This window comes from Homo sapiens, chromosome 13 (assembly GCF_000001405.40).
Source record: "Homo sapiens chromosome 13, GRCh38.p14 Primary Assembly".
Lineage (NCBI taxonomy): Eukaryota > Metazoa > Chordata > Mammalia > Primates > Hominidae > Homo > Homo sapiens.
In genome coordinates this window covers 84,886,979-84,908,307 of record NC_000013.11, presented here as the reverse complement: position 1 = coordinate 84,908,307, position 21,329 = coordinate 84,886,979, and the positions used below count along the sequence as shown (strand labels likewise).

Genomic DNA, 21,329 nt, shown 5'->3' with positions numbered 1-21,329 from the left:
TGGTTATGAAATAAATACCAGGAGAATAAAAATGATGTTTATGCTAAATTTTTATTGTAAAGTTAACTACTGTTTGACTAGTGAAACCTATCTGTGACAATTTTTTTCTTGAATTGGATTTTTATTCTTTATTTTACTTTCACTTTGTTTTTTGTTCTCTGATTGTGGAATTTAACCTTGTATTATTTCTAATTCTGTTTGCAATTTGACTCAGAAAATAATAATATGTATGTGTGTGAGTGAGCGCACACAGACATACAGACATATTCATCCCCATTAGTGGTTTTGCTATTTATAGCACTAATAGATTATCTAATTTTTTTTTTGACAGATCCTCACTCTTGTCACACAGGTTGGAGTACACTGGTGCCATCTCACTGAAACCTTCACCTCCTGGGTTTAAGCAATTCTCCTGCCTCAGCCTCCCTGGTAGCTGGAATTACAAGAATATGCCACCATAGCTGGGATTACAAGCATGTGCCACCACATCTGGCTAACTTTTGTACTTTTTTTTTAGTAGAGACAGGGTGTATTAGGGTTCTCTACAGGGATAGAACTAATAGGATCTCTCTCTCTCTCTCTCTCTCTCTCTCTCTCTCTCTCTCTCTCTTGTGTTCACTCTCTCTCTATATATACATATACATATACATATATATGTGTATATATAGATATGTATATATAAAGGGGAGTTCATTAAGGAGTATGAAACTCACACGATCACAAAGTCCCACAATATTCCATCTGCAAGCTGAGGAGCAAGGAAGCCAGTCTGATTCCCAAAGCTGAAGAGCTTGAAGTCTGATGTTGGAGGGCAGAAAGGATCCAGCATGGGAGAAAGACGTAGGCTGGGATACTAAGCCAGTCTAATCTCTCCATGTTCTTCTGCCTGTTTTTGTGCTGGCAGCTGATTAGATGCTGCCCACCCAGATTAAGGGTGGGTCTGCCTTTCCCAGTCCACTGACTCAAATGTTAATCTCCTTTGGCAACACCCTCACAGACATACCCAGGATCAAAATTTTGCATCCTTCAATCCAATCAAGTTGACACTCAGTATTAACTATTACAAGTCCACCCCTTGTCAACTTGAACCCATACACATCTCCTGAGATCATACATAATCTTCAAATAAAGACAATAATAAGGTCATAATTATGCCTAACATAATGCAACTACCATTCATACAACTGGAAACACACCAACCCCCAAACCAAATTCTATTCCATAAAGTTAACACTGAAATGCTGATAGGAAGTCAATAAATCTTACGTCACATGATAAAGGAAAAGGGAAATAGAATGAAGCTGTTTTCTTAGTACAAGTGTATACATGCAAAACATGTTTTTAACAAAAGAAGGAGGAAATGCTCACAATAATTATAGTCCTCATTTTTGCAGCTGGTTACATGGTCGTAGCTGTTATTGATGACCACCTTCTACTACCCATTCTGTATTCTCTTTGCCTTCAGCAAGCACCTCAGCAGGTCATGGTTTTTTCCTGGTGGAGTGACCCAAAACTTCATTCCTGAAGGGTCTGGGCCATTTGTAGCCCTGCCTGGATTGAGCTGTTGTAGTTTCCCATTGATCTCAATCATAGGGCATGGTAATACTAAGAGATACCCTAATGGATCTCCTGTATTCCATGCATACTCTTCCTTGCCTCCATTGTGGAGTGGTAGACTGATTTCATCTTGATAGTCCGGGTCAATCACCCCAGCCGACACTGTAACTCCTTTCTTAGCCTGTTGACTTAAAGGTAGGAGCAGCCCAAAGTGGCCAGGTGGCAATCTTCACTTCTAGTTTAATAGAATCGTTGCTGTGTCTCCTGGTGGCAGCATTTCTCCCTCTGGAACTAAGACCTCTAGGCCAGCAGAACATAATGTCATGAGAAGAGAAAGCAAAAATTTTGCTAGTGGATCACTGGGGATGATGGTGAGTAGTGCCACTTCCACTTCCACCCCTTGATTCCTGGACCCGTGAATCCTGGCTGTGGGAGAAACAGTACCATATATTGGATGCTGATTCAGAGCATACACGGCCTTCTGGAGAACTTTGCCCCAGCCCTGCAAAGTATTGTTACCTAGTTGGCATAGTAATTGTGACTTCAAAAGGACACTCTACCGTTCTACCAATAGAGCTACTTTAGGATGAATGGGAACATGGCAAGACCAGTGAATTCCAGAAGCATGAGCCCACTACCACACTTCTTTAGCTGTAAATTGAGTGCTTTGGTCAGAAGCAATGCTGTATGGAATACCATGATGGTGGATAAGGCATTCCTTGAGTCCAGGGATGATAGTCTTGGCAGAAGGATTGTGTGCAGCACAGGCAAACCCATATCCAGAGTAAGTCTATTCCAATAGGACAAATCTCTCTCCTTTCCATGATAGAAGACATCCAGTTACAATCAACCTGCCACCAACTAGCTGGCTGTTCACCCCAAGGAATGGTGTCATACTGAGGGCTCAGTGTTGGTATCTGCTGCTGGCAAATTGGGCACTCAGCAGTGGCCATAACCAGGTCAGCCTTGGCTAGTGGAAGTCCATGTTGCTGAGCCCATGTGTAACCTCCATCCTTGCCACCAGGGCCACTTTGTTCATGGGCCCATTGAGAGATCATAGAGGTGGCTGGCAAAAGTGGCTAGTAGTGTCCACAGAATGGGTCATCCTGTCCACCTGATTATTAAAATTATCTTCTGCTGATGTCACTGTTTGGTGACCTCAGCACTCACATGGAATACAAATATCTTCACAGTTTTTGACCACTTGGAGAGGTCCATCCAAATACCTCTTCCCCAAATTTCTTTGACACCAAATTTCAAACATACTTCTTTCAAGTCCCTGACCATCCAGCCAAACCACTGGCTAAGGCCCATGCATCAGTGTATAATCACAGATCTGGCCATTTCTCCTTCCATGCAAACTCTACAACCAGTGCACTGCTTGAAGTTCTGCCCACTGGGAAGATTTTCCTTCCCCGCTGTCCTTCAGGGATTTTCTAGAAAGGGGCTGTAGTGCTGCAGCTGTCCACTTTCAGGTGGTGCCAGCATATTGTGCAGAACCATCTGTGAACAAGGCCCTAGTCTTCTTTTCCTCTGTCAACTGATCATAAGGAACTCCCCATGAGGCCATAGGTGCAGACTGGGGGAGAGAAGGCAGCATGGCAGGAGTGGAAACCATGGGCATTTGAACCACTTCCTCATGTAATTTACTTGTGCCTTCAGGATATCCTTGAGCCTGATCATGTATATACCACTTCAGTTTATTAAGATAATATAATTTTGTCATATATATGTTATGAGTAATCATGTAGCTTAAAAGTTTGTTGAGTAGCTCCCAAGATCTTGAGGAGGGCTAGAGAACTGGGCTTGGACACTTCCTAGCCAATAAAGGTGATCACAGTCAAGTACAGGACTGTTGAGTGAAGATTCGCTGCTCCTACCAACAGGCATAGACACGGTGGATTGCCTTCACACTGCTCTTGACCCACAATTCTTCTAGGGTTACTCTTGCCACTGTTATTCTATGAACTGGAGATGGATCCTACTGATTCCCCACCATAAATAACGGCCGTGGACGTTTATTTTTTTTGGTTCTAATTCAATGTCTGGGACAGGTGCATGAGATTGGTGGATTCTAGTTTCCAAGCACACACACTAACAGCAAGAGAGACTTGGGAAGCAAGAATCCAAAAATTTCAAACTCTGTTGTTAGAAGTAGGCATTTTGTTATAGTGGAAAAAATGCAAGTCACATTAATTTAATAAGAAGCAAAAAAATAATAGTAAGATGGTTTCAACATCATCAACTTTGGCTGTGCAATATTAGTATAATTATTTGTTCTTTTCTTTATACTTCTAAAATCATACATTTTTTCTAACATAATGCAATTATTTCTTGTACAATCAAATACATGTTAATCTTCCAATCGAAAGGGTTAAAGCAAATTACTATGAATTACCGAAACCAATGTAAGACCATAATCATCCAATCATGCCCATTAAAATCTTGCTTTTGTTAAAATGTTATCTTGATATTATCAACAACATACACCCTTTATTGAAGAAAAAAGAAAATGAAGTGTACAGAAGAGGGAAAGTATTTGCCTAATATAGCTATGCATATGACAGAGCAAGAAAGGAAATATGAGTTAATGCCCATAAGTCTTCATTTTTTAATTGTCAATAGATCGTAGTTGTTTTTTATTACTGCCTTGGTTTGCTAATCACACCACAAGTCCTGTACCACAGCCAACAACTCAGTTGTTAAGTTTTTGCCCTGTGAAGTAATGTATCTATCTATATATCTTCATGAATTTTTATCAGCTTTATTGATATATAATTAACAAATATATATTGTATATATTAAAGATGTACAAGTGATGTTTTGATATATGTATGTATTGTAAAATAATCACCATATTGAAACTCATATATCTATCTCTTCACATGATTACTTTTTGATGAGAACTCTTAAGATTTACTTGCTTAGCAAATTTTAGGCTCACAGTATACAATAATGTTAGTTAAAACCACATTGATATATATTAGATCTCCAGAACTCATTCATCTTGCATAACTGAAATTGTGTACCCTGTGACAAACATCTCCAATCTCTCCCTACCCCGAGCCACTGAAAACCACCATTTTACTCTATGCTGCTATGAGTTTGACTACTGTAGATTCCACATGTATGTGAGATCACACAGTATTTATCTTTCTGTGTGTCTGGCTTATTTCGTCTCACATAATTGCCTCCAGATTTATCTATGTCGTCACAAAAGGCAGGATTTCCTTCTTTGTTAAGGCTAAATATTATTTTGTTACATATCTTGTATAGCACGATTTTTTTAATCCATTTGTCAACAGACATTTAGGTTGTTTCCATATCTTGGCTATTGTCAATTGTGGGGCAATTAGCATGGGGATATAAATATCTCTCTGAGGCACTGATTTTAATTCCTTTGTCTGAATAACCAGAAATAGGTTTGCTGAATCATATGGTATTTCTATTTTTAATTTCTTGAGAAACCTCTCTACTATTTCCATAATGGATGTACTAACTTACTTTCCCACCAACAGTACACAAGCATTTTTTTTTTATCCACATCCTTGTCAACACTTATCTTTTGTCTTTTTGATAATAGACATTCCAACAGGTGTCAGCTGATAATCTCATTGTAGTTTCTTCACTCTTAAGGAATCTGAATTTTTATTGCCTCTGACTGTGTAAGGTGGTTGTGTTTTTTAAAGCTGTACCATTTCACTTACCATCAGAAATATAAACCTAGCACCTTAATGTATACTCTCTAAGAAGCAGACCCAGCCTCTAGAATTCAAGTAAAAGTAGTTGATTTGGAAAATGAAATGATTAAGGAAGTAGGGAATTGATAATAGAATAAACACCTATTAATGACTGTAGTATTAAGACAGCTACCCTAAAGTGCTATTAAGGCTTAATCCACTGGGGAAACACTGAAAGGATGCAAACGCACACTTCTATCAGCCCCATTCATGGGGTCAAGTATCTGTGGTTTTTATACCCTAACTCCTAAGCATCATTGGTGAGGGCTGCTACTGGGTGCTATATTTCCCTGCATATCCTGCCTGCTGCCAAAACTATGTAGGAAACTGATCTTTCCAAAATCCAAGGGAAAGGAGTTTTCAGCTTCAGGGATGTAGATACTGTTGAAAATCACCCAGAGAATATGAAAGGTCTAGGGAAAATGGGCCAGACATTGCCAGGGTGAGCTACATTTTGGGGTTCTCTTGGGCTTAAATTATTTTTCTTCTCCTTGTATTTACTAGTAACAAACACTACAGATTACATCACTGATGACTTCACAAACAGGACATTCATACTGTCACTCAAACTGCTACAACTGCAGCTACAGGAACTGGCTGCAGCTGCCACTGTCGCCTTGTCATCCTTGACTTCTCACATGATTAAATTTTAATTCAAGTCTATGGTAGGTGTGTTTGATTGGTGAAGCCTATATCAAGGATTTTACTGTGTATTAAAGGGCCTAAAAGATAAATATCAGTAGTTTTCACAGTTTAAAATAATATGAAGCAGTCTCTGCTTTACAGTTCAGTGATTCTCCAAAAGTAGGAAGGAAATTCAACTGCAGAGAAACTTAAGTGAATGAAAATTCACGTACAATCATCTTATATAAATTGTTTTTATTTCTTTCTCTCAGGATAACTTTCACAGAGGTAATGGAATTTTTATTACAAGAGAGAAATCTAAGCAATGTACCACAGTCTGAAGGTTAATTAGGTAGTGAGGAATAAACAACGGGCATTCCAAATATTGACTTTCTGTTTCTAAAACTATTACTTGTTCAGGTGGTTAAGTAGATTATGTTATTGGCAACCATCTGCACTTCTCCCTGGATTACACCTTTTGCCATAACCTTAAGGGCCCTTCAAACGTGAACAGTGTGCAGTTTTCTGTTTCTCCACATTAGCCTCAGCCATGCAATATCCTTTGGCCAACAGGATGAAGCAAAAGTGATGATGGGCCAGTTCTAAACATATACTTCAAGGGTCCCTACGTGTTTTCACCTGTGCATAAGTTCCTCTGAAATTGCCGTGAGAGTGAGAACATTCCTAGTAAGTTCATGGGAATGAGGTGTGGATTAGGGACCCTTGAAGCAGAGCCACCCACAGCTGAGCTCAAGCTAGATAAATGAACCATAGCTAGACACAAACAAATATGAGCCCAATTCATACCAGTAGAGATGCACATTATCACAAAATTTAGGTCAACTGACCTCAGTCTGGCTCAAGAGCTAAAACATTATTGTATGTTCCTTATATTTCTATGGGTGATTTTCCACACAGAATTTTGTTTCTATAGCTAATACCTCATGCTACCAAGAAAGGGAATATGAAATCTACAATTCTTCTGATGAATGCCATTGTACATGTTCCCTTCCTCTTTACTCTGCTGTGTGATCTTTTTATTAAGCCAAACTTGTAAATACCTCAGATGGTTAAAGGAGTGTTATTTCCAAGCATCTTGAATATGTGAACAGTGACAAGTCAATAAACAAACAGGTATGTCAATATATTGGCAACTTAAAGGATATACATAGTTTCTTCTTTAGTATGCAATATAGTTTGACTGTGTCCCCACCCAAATCTCATCTTGAATTGTAGCTTCTATAATCCCCACATGTTGTGGGAGGGACCTGGGAAGAGGTAATAAATCATGGGGGCGGGTTTGTCCTGTGCTGTTGTCACAATAGCAAATAAGTCTCACGAGATTTGATGGTTTTATAAAAGGGAGTTCCCCTGCACTGGCTCTCTTGCCTGCCACCATGTAAGATGTGACTTTTTTCCTCATTCACCTTCTGCCATGATTGTGAGGCCTCCCCAGCCATGTGGAACTGTAAGTCAAATAAACCTCTTTCCTTTATAAACTACCTAGCCTCAGGTATCTTTTTATTAGCAGCATGAGAACAGACTAGTTCAGTATGTGAAAAAATAAAAATGGAGAAGCATTTTAAAGAAATATGTGTTTTATAAATAAAGAAAACCATCATTTACCTCATAAACCAGATGATTTTTTTGTCTGCTGATTTTACAAAACTTATCTTCAATAAAAAGAAATGAATTTTACTAGTGTAGCAAAATTAAATTATTTTCTCTGCTGTAGTCCACAGTTTTGTCTTTTGAGACAAAAATGATTTTTTAAAAAAATATATTTGTTTATGTTTCTTGAGTTCCAGAATAAAGTCAGGCAAAACAATCAATAGTATTTAAATCATTATAATATTGCTCTTTAATATAATACACCTTAAAAAGTTGATTTAACACCAGGCTGAGTACAGAGTAGTTACACATAAATGTAACAAGTTAGAAAAAAAAAAAAAGAGAAAGAAATATGAAATCAGAAAGAAGGTCAAATTGACCAAAGAGGGAAAATGTTGGGGCCCAAAGTACTCAAAGGAGAAAAATGGAAGGTTGATTGAGATGAGGAAAAAAGAGATTGCTGTAGAGCAATCTATCACTGAAGAGGTAGACTGAGAAAGAAAAGGAAAAGGTTCTTAGGCAATTGCACAGCATTTGAGTGAGAAATCTATCACTTCCATCTCTCTTTATTTTTATCTTGATCAGTAGGATTTTGAAGTTTATTGTGAGGTGCACAAGTTTTCCTCTTAATAACATCAATGTTCTTATAAGTTCCTAAACAATATTTATATCTGTGCCATTCTTATATATCCATCCTGCTTTAAACGTATATTGTTTAACACATTGTTCAAACATATTCTTCATACTCTAATTTTACTGTAAATTTCCTATTAAAAATCTCTGATATTAGTTTGTTGTGTTTTGTGCTTTTTGTTACCCTTTGTAAAGGAGTAGTAGGACATATTTTTGTAAACTTACCAGTCTTTTTATGTGAGGTGGTGACCCCAAAATATACCACCTCTGAAATATTTAACACCCATTATCCACTATATGACCTCACTGTCTCTCACGGCATTGAAAGCTGACTTTAATGTTCTATAATCTAGAATTGAAATATGATTTGTTTCTTGCATTTAGTCCTTCTTCGTGCTTCTACTCAGTTCTTTTTCTTTCCCTGAAGTAGACTTATAAAGTTTCATTTGTTTACTAACGTGCCCCAAACTACAATCATCTTGTTTGTTCTCAGCTGATTGTCTCATTTTCTATTTTAAAAGTGGGAAACCAAAGTGAACTTGTTTTTCACCTACAAAAATCTTCACCTTCTCACCCATCCTCCCCTCATGTCCATATGGAAGAGGCTGGCGGCTGCTCTCGCACTCAACATCACATTTCCTGTGTTCTCTATCACCTGCGTGCCTCCCACACCTGTGGGATGTTGTATCATTGAATATGTACTCGTGATGATTCTTTAGCCACTACTTTTCGCTGGCTCTTTGACCTCAGTATTTAAGATTTATGCTCCTCCCATCCTAAGATATGAAACGAAACTCAAGATATGAAACAAAACACAGGCATTTTCTCCACTGTTTCTGTTCTATATTTTTAATCTTTTCGCAGCCAGATGTCTTGAAAAGAGAGTTTGAAGCACACTATCTTTACTTCCATTGATACGGGAGAGGGGTAGGGAAGTGTTGGGTAGAGAAGGGCGGGTGCCTGGCTAGGGCTCCACTCCAGTACCTGTGCCCATGGACCTAGGTGAAAACAGACAGTTGTTTTCTTGCACAAATGTTACATTTCCTAAGACCACCCTGGCCCGCCACGCCCCCATCCTGTGCCTATAAAAACCCCAACACCCTAGTGGGTACACACAAGTGGCTGAACATCAAGAGGAACACGCTGGCGTAAGGGCACATCAATAGGGACCAGCAGGCTGGCAGGCCATGGACCAGTGGGAAGATGTAGAGTTCGGCCGGGGCAGTCAGAGGAGAGCCCAGCCGCTGAGCAGCCCAAATACAGAAGAAAACCACCTTTCCACTCTATCTCCCTTCAGGCTCCCGCATCTGCTGAGCGCTACTTCTACTCAGTAAAACCCTGCACTCATTCTCCAAGCCCACGGGTGATCCTATTCTTCTGGTACATCAAGGCAAGAAACCCCAGGATACAGAAAGCCCTCTGTCCTTGTGATAAGGCAGGGATCTAACTGAGCTAACACAAGCCGCCTCCAGACAGCTAACCTAAAAGAGCACCCTGTAACACATGCCCACTGGGGGTTCAGGAGCTGTAAACATTCACCTCTAGACGCTGCTATGGGATCAGAGCCTCACAGCCGGCCCGTCTGCATGCTTCCCTTAGAGGCTTGAACAACGGGGCACCGAAGAAGTGAGGTACACCCCCATGAGCTACACCCCCATCTCACGCCCTGCGAGGGGGATAAGGGAACTTTTCCCGTTTCACCACAGCACTGGTACCTCAGCTCCTTGTGGTTAGCTCCAGCCTCCACTAAGCCCTAGATACTGAACTATCACTCCATCTTGAGGTTCAAACTTTTATCGAAATTCTGTTTGTGATAGACAACTGGCAGTCTCACAGGATGCTCAACTTCAAAATATACAAAATTAGCTTGTATTAATCAATCATCTTGTTGGTTCTTCTATATTTACTAGTTTAGTAATGACATTTCAGTTCTATACATTACACAGGTTACAATCTTCTTTTAATTAATTTATTTTTTTATTTTCTTTGAGACGGAGTCTCGCTCTGTCTCCCAGGCTGGAATGCAGTGGCGCCATCTCGGCTCACTGCAAGTTCCGCCTCCCGGGTTCCCGCCATTCTCCCACCTCAGCCTCCCGAGTAGCTGGGACTACAGGCGCCCGCCACCACGCTCGGCTCATTTTTTGTATTTTTTTTTTGGTAGTGACGGGGTTTCACCTTGTTAGCCAGGATGGTCTCGATATCCTGACCTCGTGATCCACCCGTCTCGGGCTCCCAAAGTGCTGGGATTACAGGCGTGAGCCACTGCACCCGGCCTACACAGGTTACAATCTTAAGACTCATTACAGAGTCCTTTCTGCAATGTAATTTCTTCTGTTGAAATACTTTATCATTCTTACACTTTTTTCATTCCTCAGCACTGTTTCCACAACTCCACTAAAGGCCTTAAAAACTATGTTCTTAAGTAGATAGATCCTTTCCTTGTTTTGTGTTTCACTCCCCTCACTCCCAGCCACAAATCATTCCTCTCATGCAATTTGAGTTCCTAAATTACAAATCTGATCAGGGAATTTCCCATGAATCAATTCTTCGATGACAACAAAGTTCAAATATAAGCGAGTACTTCTTCAGCATGTCACTCAAGCTGCATAGGAGGATACAGCTCATACACAGTGTCATGGTCTCCACCCATTCTACTTGCCCATTCATTTTTCTCTCCCTCCTCGATTGTTTCATTCCTCCCTCTTGGAATCCTTAACATAAATAGCATTGCTCAGAGAGAATTTTTGGACCACTTTCTTTTATTTTATGCTCCCTTAACATGCTGAACTTCTTTAACACAGTCAAACTACAATATTAATTTTTATATTAATATTAATTTTATATGTATTTTTCATTAATTTTCCCTGAAATACTTACACTCAGTAGTTGAGGCCAATTTCTTCTTTATTCATTATTTATACTCCAGCACCTAACAAATTATCTTAACTTGTTGAGTAAAGGAGGTTAACTCTATCTAAGGAGCACTGACAAAGCCTTCCATAGATTTAGAAAGGCAAGGATATAACATAATTTTTGCTACAGAAATTTTTCTCACTCCAATGCACAGTAATAGTAAAATACTGAGGCTGGTGGATGTTTTGTGAGACAAAGAGGTTATCTAAATAATATGGTGGCTCAGATCAGAGAAGTGGCAGGGAAATAGAAAAGATTAGACAGATCCCATAAAATGTAAGTGGTAAGAGATTAGTAAGACATGACAAGAGCTGATACATGGAATGGGGAAGAGGGAGACGGACAGCTTGAAAAAATCGAGTTTACCACTTGATACAATCAGTTGGACGGCGATGTTAGAGAACAGAGGAGAAAAGCTAGTTTGGGTAATGCAGATATTTTCTCTTGCATATGGCAATTCTACTGAGTAGAATTCATGTTAAAGCAAGAGTTCTAATGTTGTTTTATTCTTTAATTAAATATCCAACGTAGTATTAGGATTATGTACAATAAAAAAGATATGTATCACTAATTAAGGCAGATTTTCAAAGCAACTTTTATTCTATTTTAGATTTATTAAACACTAATAGTCTCTCAAAGAAAGCTTCATTAAATGTGCCTGAGATGATTCTAAGAAAAGTTCTAATTCAAAGGGTAACTCACCATGATCTTGAATTTTACTTTTCCTACACAAATATGATTTACAATAATGAAAACATGATTTTTGCCACTATTAACATTTTTATAAAGATGTTTTATAGTGCCCCAAAATGTTTCTAAATATTCTGTATTCATGTCTTTTTACCATTTCTTTTTGCCTATTTAGAAGCGTAAACTTGGTTCAAATAGCGAGTCTGTGCTGCCACCTGCTGGAAAATGTGAGAAAATTGTCTGTTTTAATGGAATAGCAGTGATGTATGCTGCATTAAATAAGAAAACTCAGGTAATGTTCATGATATTTTTTTCCTAATAAAAGATTATCAAAATGGGGCCGGGCGCGGTGGCTCACGCCTGTAATCCCAGAACTTTGGGAGGCCGAGGGGGGCGGATCACCTGAGGTCGGGAGTTCGAGACCAGCCTGTCCAAGAAGGAGAAGCCCAGTCTCTACTAAAAATACAAAATTAGCCGGGCGTAATGGCGCATGCCTGTAATCCCAGCTACTCGGGAGGCTGAGGGAGGAGAACTGCTTGAACATGGAGGTTGCAGTGAGCTGAGATCACGCCATTGCACTCCAGTCTGGGCAACAAGAGCGAAACTCCATCTCAAAAAAAAGAAGTAAAACATCTCTGATCTGTAAACGTTGCTCATTACAGAAGGGATCCTTACAACCTCACATCTTTTAAAGGCCCTCATGGGCTGGGCATGGTGACTCATGCCTGTAATCCCAGCACTTGCTACTGGGGGAGGCTGAGGCAGGAGAATCGCTGAGGCAGGAGAATGGCATGAACCCGTGAGGCGGAGCTTGCAGTGAGCCGAGATCGGGTCACTGCAAGCTCCGCTCACGGGTTCATGCCATTCTCCTGCCTCAGGCTCCGAAGTAGCTGGGACCACAGGTGCCTGTCACGATGCCTGGCTAATTTTTCTGTATTTTTAGTAGAGGTGGGGTCTCACCATGTTAGCCAGGATGGTCTCGATCTCCTGACCTCGTGATCCACCTGCCTCGGCCTCCCAAAGTGCTGGGATTACAGGCCTGAGCCACCACGCCCGGGCAATTTTTGTATTTTTAGTAGAGACAGAGTTTCACCCTGTTGGCCAGGATGGTCTCAATCTCCTGACCTTGTGATTTGCCTGCCTCAGCCTCCCAAAGTGCTGGGATTACTGGCGTGAGCCACTGCGCCAGGCCGTTTATTTCCCAATTTTTTTTAATTTACCATTCACCTAGATTATTTTTAGTAGAAAAAAAGTTTGAGTACAACCGAATTAGTATTTTATTAGTAGTGCTTTAGCAATATAAAAAAGCAGATAAAAAATTTAAAGAATGAAAGAAATATTTTCTAAATAACTAGAATATAACCTTACTTTTACTCATGACTCCCTCACCAGGTAGGCTTGTGGACCTTGGGGTAGCCCCCGCTAATTGAGAGGTGACAACGTGCTAGCAGCCCTTGCTTGCTCTGGGCGCCTCCTCGTCCTCTGCGTCCGCTCTGGCCACGCTCAAGGAGCCCTTCAGCCCGCAGCTGCGCTGTGGGGGACCATCTCTGGGGCTGGCTGTGGGGGCCCCTCCCTGGGGCTGGCCGAGGCCAGAGCTGGCTCCCTCTGCTGGCAGGGAGGTGTGGAGGGAGAGGCACAGGCCGGAGTCTGGGCTGCATGCTGCGCTCGCCGGCCGGTGCGGGTTCAGGGTGGGCGCTGGCTCGGTGGGCCCCGCACTCTGTGTGGCCAGCCGGCACCTGCTGGGCTTGATCAGAGGCTGGGTCCCATGCGTGGACGCCATTCCCTCTTCGCGGGTTCATTGGCCACAATGTTGGGTCTCCATCTCTTTCTGGCTTCCCCTCTTTTCCGCTTGGTTGTCTGAGATGAGCTCCATCTGGGCTGCCGAAGTGCGCGGGCTAGGTGCCACAAAGTCCTGCAGCCAGTGCCAGTGAGAGGTGAAGCCAGCTGGGCTTCTGGGACGGGGAACTTTTGTGTCTAGCTAAAGGATTGTAAATGCACCAGTCAGCACTCTGTGCCTAGCTAAAGGATTGTAAACACACCAATCAGCACTCTATGTCTAGCTAATCTGATGGGGACGTGGAGAACTTTTGTGTCTAGCTAAAGGACTGTAAACGCACCAATCAGCACTCTGTGTCTAGCTAAAGGTTTCTAAATGCACTAATCAGCACTCTGTCAAAATGGATCAATCAGCTCTGTAAAACGGACCAATCAGCTCTCTGTAAAATGGACCAATCAGCAGGATGTGGGTGGGGCCAGATAAGGGAATAAAAGCAGGCCGCCCCAGCAAGCAATGGCAATGCAGTGGGGTCACGTCCAGGCAGTGGAAGGTTTGTTCTTTCACTCTTCGCAATAAATCTTAATGCTGCTCACTCTTTCCATCGGCGCCGCCTTTATGACTTGTAACGCCGCAAAGGTCTGCAGCTTCACTCCTGAAGTCAGCCAGACCGTGAACCCACCAGAAGCAAGAAGGAACAAACTCCGGACTCACCATCTTTGAGAACTGTAGCACTCATCACAAGGGTCCATGGCTTCATTCTTGAAGTCAGTGAGACCAAGAGCCCACCAATTCCAGACACATAATCACCAGGTCTGATGCTTTCTGTTTTAAAAGTTAATTGTTTATTCAATTTATTTAATAGATAAAGGCCTATGCAGATTGTTTATTTCTTCTAGTTTTATTTCTAATTGTGTTTTCAAAAAATTGGTCCATTTTATCTAGGTTATCAAAGTTATAGACATAGTTTCATTCACAATATTCCCTATCATTTTAATATCCATGAAATCAGTAGTAATATTTCTGTTACTTGTAATTTGTGTCTCCTTTCTTTTTTGTTGGTTAGTTGGTTGGAGGCTTATCAGTTTTATTGATGTTGTCTAATAGCATACTTTTCACTGATTTTCTGTTTCGAATTTTATTAATTCTCGAATTTTTACTATTCTACTTATTTGGGATTTACAATTTTTTTAGTGTCATAATTTGTGATACTAGAATACTGATTTTAAATATTTCTTCTTTTGTAACGTATACATTTTCTGCTACAACTTACCCTCTAGGAATTATTTTGCTGCATCATACAAATTGCAGTAAGTTTATTTTCTTTTTATGGAGTTCAAAATATTTATAAATTTTTTTCAGACTTATCCTGAGACCTAGATGTTATTTAGAAATGTGTTATTTAATTTCCATATATTTGGAATTTTCCAAGTATCTTTTAATTATTGATCTCACCTTTAATTCTATTTTGGTCTAAAAATATACTTTGACATTACTTTTTAAAAATAATTTGTTGAGGTGTGGTTTTTTTTTTTTTTTTTTTTTTTTTTTTTGAGACGGAGTCTTGCTCTGTTGCCCAGGCTGGAGTGCAGTGGCGCGATCTCGGCTCACTGCAAGCTCCGCCTCCCGGGTTCACGCCATTCTCCTGCCTCAGCGTCCCGAGTAGCTGGGACTACAGGCGCCCGCCACCACGCCCGGCTAATTTTTTGTATTTTTTAGTAGAGGCGGGGTTTCACTGTGTTAGCCAGGATGGTCTCGATCTCCTGACCTCATGATCCGCCCGCCTCTGCCTCCCAAAGTGCTGGGATTACAGGCGTGAGCCACCGCGCCCAGCCGAGGTGTGTTTTATTGCCCAGAATGTGGTCTATTTTACTGAATGTTTCATGACATCTTGAGAAAAATGTGTATTCTCCTGTTGGTGGATGAAGTATTCTATAAATATCAAGTGTATGCAGTAGATTGATGATGATGTTCAATTCAATGGTATCAATTTTGTTCAACTATACTGATTTTCTGCCTCCTTGATCTGTCAGTTACTCATAGGGGGGTCTCAACATTTCCAAATATAACAATAAATTTATCTATATCACCTTGCATTTCTATGAGTTCTTGCCTTACATATATTGCCATTATTATTAAAGACATTCACATTAGGGATTGTTACACCTTCTTGGAGAAATGACTGCTTTTTCATCATGTAATGCCTCTCTCTATCCCTGATATTTTATTTTCCCCTGAAGTCTGATTTGTCTAAAATTAATATAACTACGAGTTATGAGCTGAATTGTGTTCGTCTAAAATTCTTATGTTGAAGTCCTAACCCCTAGTACCTCAGAGTATGACTGCATTTAGGGATAGCATCTCTAAAATGAAAATTAAGTTAACATGAGTTTTGGTAGTATGGGCCCTAATTCATTACAATTTGTGTCCTTTAAAGGAAGATCCAGACACACGCAGAGGTAAGACCATTTAAAGATGGAAAGAAGATTACTGTCTACAAGACAAGGAAAGAGGCCGTAGAAGAAACCAACCAGGCCAAAACTTTCATCTCAGACTTCTAGCCTTCAGAACTGTGAGAATATAAATTTATGTTGTTTAAGTCAGTGTGTGGTATTTTGTTATAACAGCCCTAGCAAATGAATATAGTACCTCTGTTATCTTTAGATTATTACTGCTACTATGCCGTATCTTTTCCATCCCTTCACTTTTAATGTCTCTCTCTTAAAGATTTCTTGATGACAACATATAGGTGGGTCTCAACTTTGTATCCACTCTATCTTTTAATTGGTATACTTAGACCATTGAAGTTTAAAGTGATTATTGACATATTTGGATTCATGTCTATCATTCTGTAACTGCTTTCTATCCGTTGTTCTTGTTATTTTTGTGTATACATTTATGGGTCACATATGATGTTTTGATGCTGGGATACAATGTGTAATCACCAAATCAGGATAATTGGGATATCCATCACCTCAAGCATTTATCATTTCTTTGTATTAAGAAAATCTGAATTCCAGTCTTTTATTTATTTTATTTTAAAATACATAATAAACTATTGTTGAGTGTAGTCACCCTGTTATGCTGTCAAATACTAGGTCTTATTCAAACTATCAAACCATACTTTTGCACCCATTGACCATCCTCGCTGTATCCTCCCCTCCCCGCTACCCTTCTCAGCCTCTAGTAACCATCATTCGGCATCCACTATTTTTTTCTGCCTTCTGTGGTGTTAATTGATCACTTTTTTTAATAATCTCATTTTCTCTCCTCTCTTAGCATTTTAATTATGCTTTTATCTTTCATTAGTATTAGCCCTAAAGGTTACAATATAATTTACAACTATTGTAGGTATGAAGTCTTCTTTCAGGATTTCTTTTTTTTTTTTTTTTTTTCGAGACACTTTCTCACTCTGTTGCCCAGGCTGGAGTGCAGTGGTACAATTTCAGCTCACTGCAGCCTTGACCTTACAGGCTCAAGTGATCCTCCCACTTCAGCCTCCCAAGACTGGACTACAGGTACACGCCCCTGCATGAGGCTATTTTTTTTTCAATGGTGATGAGGTCTCACTATGTTGCCCAGGCTGGTGTCAAACTCCTGAGTTCAGGTGATCCTCCTCAGCCTCCTAAAGTGCTGACATTACAGGCATAAGCCATTGTGCCTGGCATCTTCTTTCAAATAATGATATACCACTTCATGTGCACTACACGTATCTTGTAAGAAAATACTCTGAATTTGTCCCATCTGCCCCTCATAACATCATCATGTATTTCATTTTCATACTTGCTATAATTAACAAATACAAATTTTGTTGTTATTACTTTAACAAACTTCTATCTCCTAGATCTACTAGGAATTAGAAAAATACAATATTTTATTTATCTGTGTTTATTACTTTAATGCTTTTCCTTTCCTCATGTAGATACAAGTTTCTGAACTATATCATTTTTCTTCCTAAATAACTTTTTAAAACACTTTTTGCAAGACAAGTTTACAGGCAACACATTTCTGCAATTTTTATTTTTCAGAAAAAAGTATTCTTCCATTTTAAAGGATCATTTTGTAGAATACAGAATTTCAGGTAGATCTCCATTTCTGTTTTTCTTTCTTTTAGTTTTATAATTATCTGACTCTACTCTTTTCTTGCTTTAAGAATGAGTGACTAGTGGTAGCTTATGTCATTCATTAAAAGGTTGAGTTGCTAGCAAATTAGAAGAATGAATGTTTTCTATATGAGGTTTAGTTTTAATGAATATAGAAGATGTGCTTTTTATCAAATAATAACGTTTAAGAATTTATTTTTTAAATAAAAAATTTAATGCTGAATTATTCATGCTAGTCAAATCTAGTTTAAAATGAATAGAACAAAACATTAAAATCTTTAAAATAAATGAAAATACTTTTTATTTAAATAAAAGTACAGGCTCTCAAGAGAGATATTTAGATTTGACTTTTTCAGGTGATCTACTTTTAAATACTTACAATTATTTTCACTTATCTTTCTATTCAATTTATGAAATAAAGGCCTTCCTTTTCAGTAGGTAATCTGCATTCTATTAAAGACTGAAAGCAATACCCTTGACTCATTCTTCACTGAAGCAAACTGTTTCTTGAGACTCAATGCTTATCATATGGTAAAAATGCAGATTTCCAAAAATTAATTTCAGGCTTGAAAGACAAGAGGCATACATACATCTGATATAATTACTGTATAAAAATAATGCAACTTTGATTTCTGAAGTACTAAATGGTCATGTTCTGGAACTCCTTTGAGGTATTGTAAGTTAGATGCTAATTTGCATTGGAGCCTACATGGAAATAATCAGTATAAAATAACAGATCCAGTATGTGAGTTTGATGGAATTAGAATGCTCATCAGAAATGCTTCAATTAACAAATGGCAAGAGTCCACATTAAGTTTAAACTCAGGCCCTGTGAACAATAAAGGGTTTTAAAATGTTTTATAAGAAAATATATTTTTACTCAATAGTCTTTAAATCTGATGTTGTAAAATCATACATAAAAGAAAATGATTTGGTGGCATGTCATGCCCTACATGCCTTACCTTCCAGATCCATGATCCCACAAATAATTGAAGCTCCCCCAAGTTTTTTAACATACATACTGTCAGAAAGACCAGGGCTTTGATCTTCATGCCCTCAGATTGTAAAATTTTATTTCATTCTGTCAGAGTCATAAATTTCCATCTGCTAATTGCCCTTATCCAGTGAAGAAATTCATTGTATTATACCAGTTGTCCAGTTGTGTTTTTGAAACCAGCCTAATTGTCACACAGACTGTTTTTTTGTTTTTGTTTTTTTCTTTTTTTGAGATGGAGTCTCGCTCTGTCACCCAGGCTGCAGTGCAGTGGCACTATCTCAGCTCATTGCAACCTCCACCTCCTGGGTTCAAGTGATTCTCCTGCCTCAGCCTCCTGAGTAGCTGGGATTACAGGCATGCAACACCAAGCCCAGCTAATTTTTGTATTGTTAATAGAGACGGGGTTTCAACATGTTGGTCAGGCTGGTCTCAAACTCCTGACCTCGTGATCCACCTGCCTCAGCCTCCCAAAGTGCTGGGATTACAGGTGTGAGCCCCCACTCCCAGCCTTTTTGTTTGTTTGTGGTAAACATAGGAATTGACCCTTCTGGTCTTAAAGCATGAAACTTGTATTTGTTTTATCTGAGTTCTTTCATCAGGAAATCACCTCAGGCCTCTCAAAAAAAAAAAAGTAGCAAAGAACTGAAACTCACCAGATAACCATTTCCAGATAATAAGATGCCAGGATCCCTTATTCATCCTGATTGCTTCCTTGTTCCTCCCTAGTTACTGTTTTCTTACACATTGTTACATTTCTTTTCTATTATATAAACCCCTACTTTTAGTTGGTCAGGGAGATGGATTTGAGACTGAGCTCCCATCTCCTTAGAAGCAGCACCCAATTAAGGCCTTCGTCCTTGGCAATACTCTTCATCTCAGTAATTGGCTTTATGCACAGTGATCAGCAGGACCTAGACTGCCCCTGGTGTTTTGGTAACATTTTCATTACTCAAGATCTTTTAGTATAAAAAGATGATCTGTTCTCCATAGTTCTGTGCAACTTTCTCCTCTCTAACACATTTGTCTTCCACCGCACCCCAGTCATCCCAATCTAATGGCCACAACTAGATTTTAAATTAACAATAATTGAACCAACTCTTGGGTCTTACTTTTAATCATGGCTTCGTCTGGCAACCACCATCTATCTTGATAGCTCAGTCACTCAAATACCCTAATTCTAAAATTATATAGGCCCTCCTGTGATGCATAAGCTAAACATGCATATATTTTCACATTTTATCAACCCTCTCATTCTAGTGTTGATGCATACAGGTCTTAGAACCAATGACCCACACATATAAGGGTCATTGCATAATGACCCTCAGTGCATAAACACTGAGGTTTGCTTTCTCTCCATCTATTAAAACTCCTGAGATTGAGGGAGTGCGGATCACAGTACCCTTAAGTTAAACATTCTGTCTGCACTGGAGTAGTGAATATAGCTGGGCAACTCTCCCTGCCACCCCCATCCAACACATACACTCATCTTTAATTCATCAGTATAAGTCTCTAGGTGGTTCTCCTGTACTTCCCACATCAGTTATTTTTTCCACTTTTCTATGCTACTGTTTCTTCCATTTTTTTTTCTCCTTTTATCAGCTGATGATTTTGTTACATTACTGAGAAAATGTATGCAATCAGAAGAGGTCTTCCACCTCTGCACAGTCCCAAATTTACCAAACTATTTTTTCCTTCTATTATAATAACTGAATTCCAAATGTTTCTATCCTATTAAAAGTCGGCCGGGCACGGTGGCTCACGCCTGTAATCCCAGCACTTTGGGAGGCCGAGGCGGGCGGATCACAAAGTCAGGAAATTGAGACCATTCTGGCAACACGGTGAAACCCCGTCTCTACTAAAAATACAAAAAATTAGCTGGGCGCAGTGGCGGGCACCTGCAGTCCCAGCTACTCGGGAGGCTGAGACAGGAGAATGGCGTGAACACGGGAGGTGGAGTTTGCAGTGAGCCGAGATCGCGCCACTGCACTCCAGCCTGGGCGATAGAGTGAGACTCCGTCTCAAAAAAAGAAAAAAAGTCAAACCATCAGTATCCCACTCATATACCTATACTAAAATTTTTTCTTGCAAGTTCCTTTCTTCTTCCTGCATCATAATTCCTATCAATATAAGGATACACTATCCCTTGGCATGGTGGCTCAGTAATCCAAGCACTTTGGGAGGCTGAGATGAGTGGATTGCTTGAGTCCAGGAGTTCAAGTCCAGCCTAGGCAAGTCCAGGAGTTCCAGTCCAGCCTAAGCAACGTGGCAAAACCCTGCCTCTACTAAAAATACAAAATAATTAGCCAGGCATGGTGGCACATTCCTGTACTCTCAGCTACTTGGGATGCTGAGGTGGGAGGATCACTTGAGCCTGGGAGCAGAGGTTGCAGTGAGTGGATATCACACCACTACACTGTATCCTGGGCAACAGAGCAAGACTCTGTCTCAAAAAAATAAAAAATGAAAATGAAACCCCCAAACATAAGGATATATTGTAACATATTTTATCACAAAAAGCTCCTTCAACCAACATCGTCCTCTAGTTACCACTATATTTCACTCTTCTATGTTGCAGCCAATTATCAAAGAATGCCCTATTAGTATTGTTCCCCTTTATCTTCTGCTTAAATCTCTTGAAACCAGTTTATCACTTGGTAGAAAGATTCCCGTTATCTCCAATCTAATAC

The 21,329-nt window shown here is 39.7% G+C and overlaps 1 long non-coding RNA gene across 5 annotated transcripts in view; it reads left to right on the top strand.

Annotated features, from left to right (window-relative positions):
- Window positions 1–5,873: 5,873 nt before the first annotated feature.
- The window catches only part of LOC105370290 (uncharacterized), a 30,721-nt gene continuing 15,265 nt past the window's right edge, over window positions 5,874–21,329 (top strand). For 2 of the 5 annotated variants that reach the window (XR_007063931.1, XR_942137.1), the window contains exons 1-4: window positions 7,355–7,389; window positions 11,944–12,060; window positions 14,182–14,355; window positions 15,980–16,114. This is a non-coding gene — a long non-coding RNA (uncharacterized LOC105370290). Of the gene's footprint in view, window positions 5,963–6,821; window positions 7,056–7,354; window positions 7,390–11,943; window positions 12,061–14,181; window positions 14,356–15,979; window positions 16,115–21,329 lie in introns of those variants that run through there. The other 3 variants (XR_942139.2, XR_007063929.1, XR_007063930.1) reach the window with 3 other exon arrangements.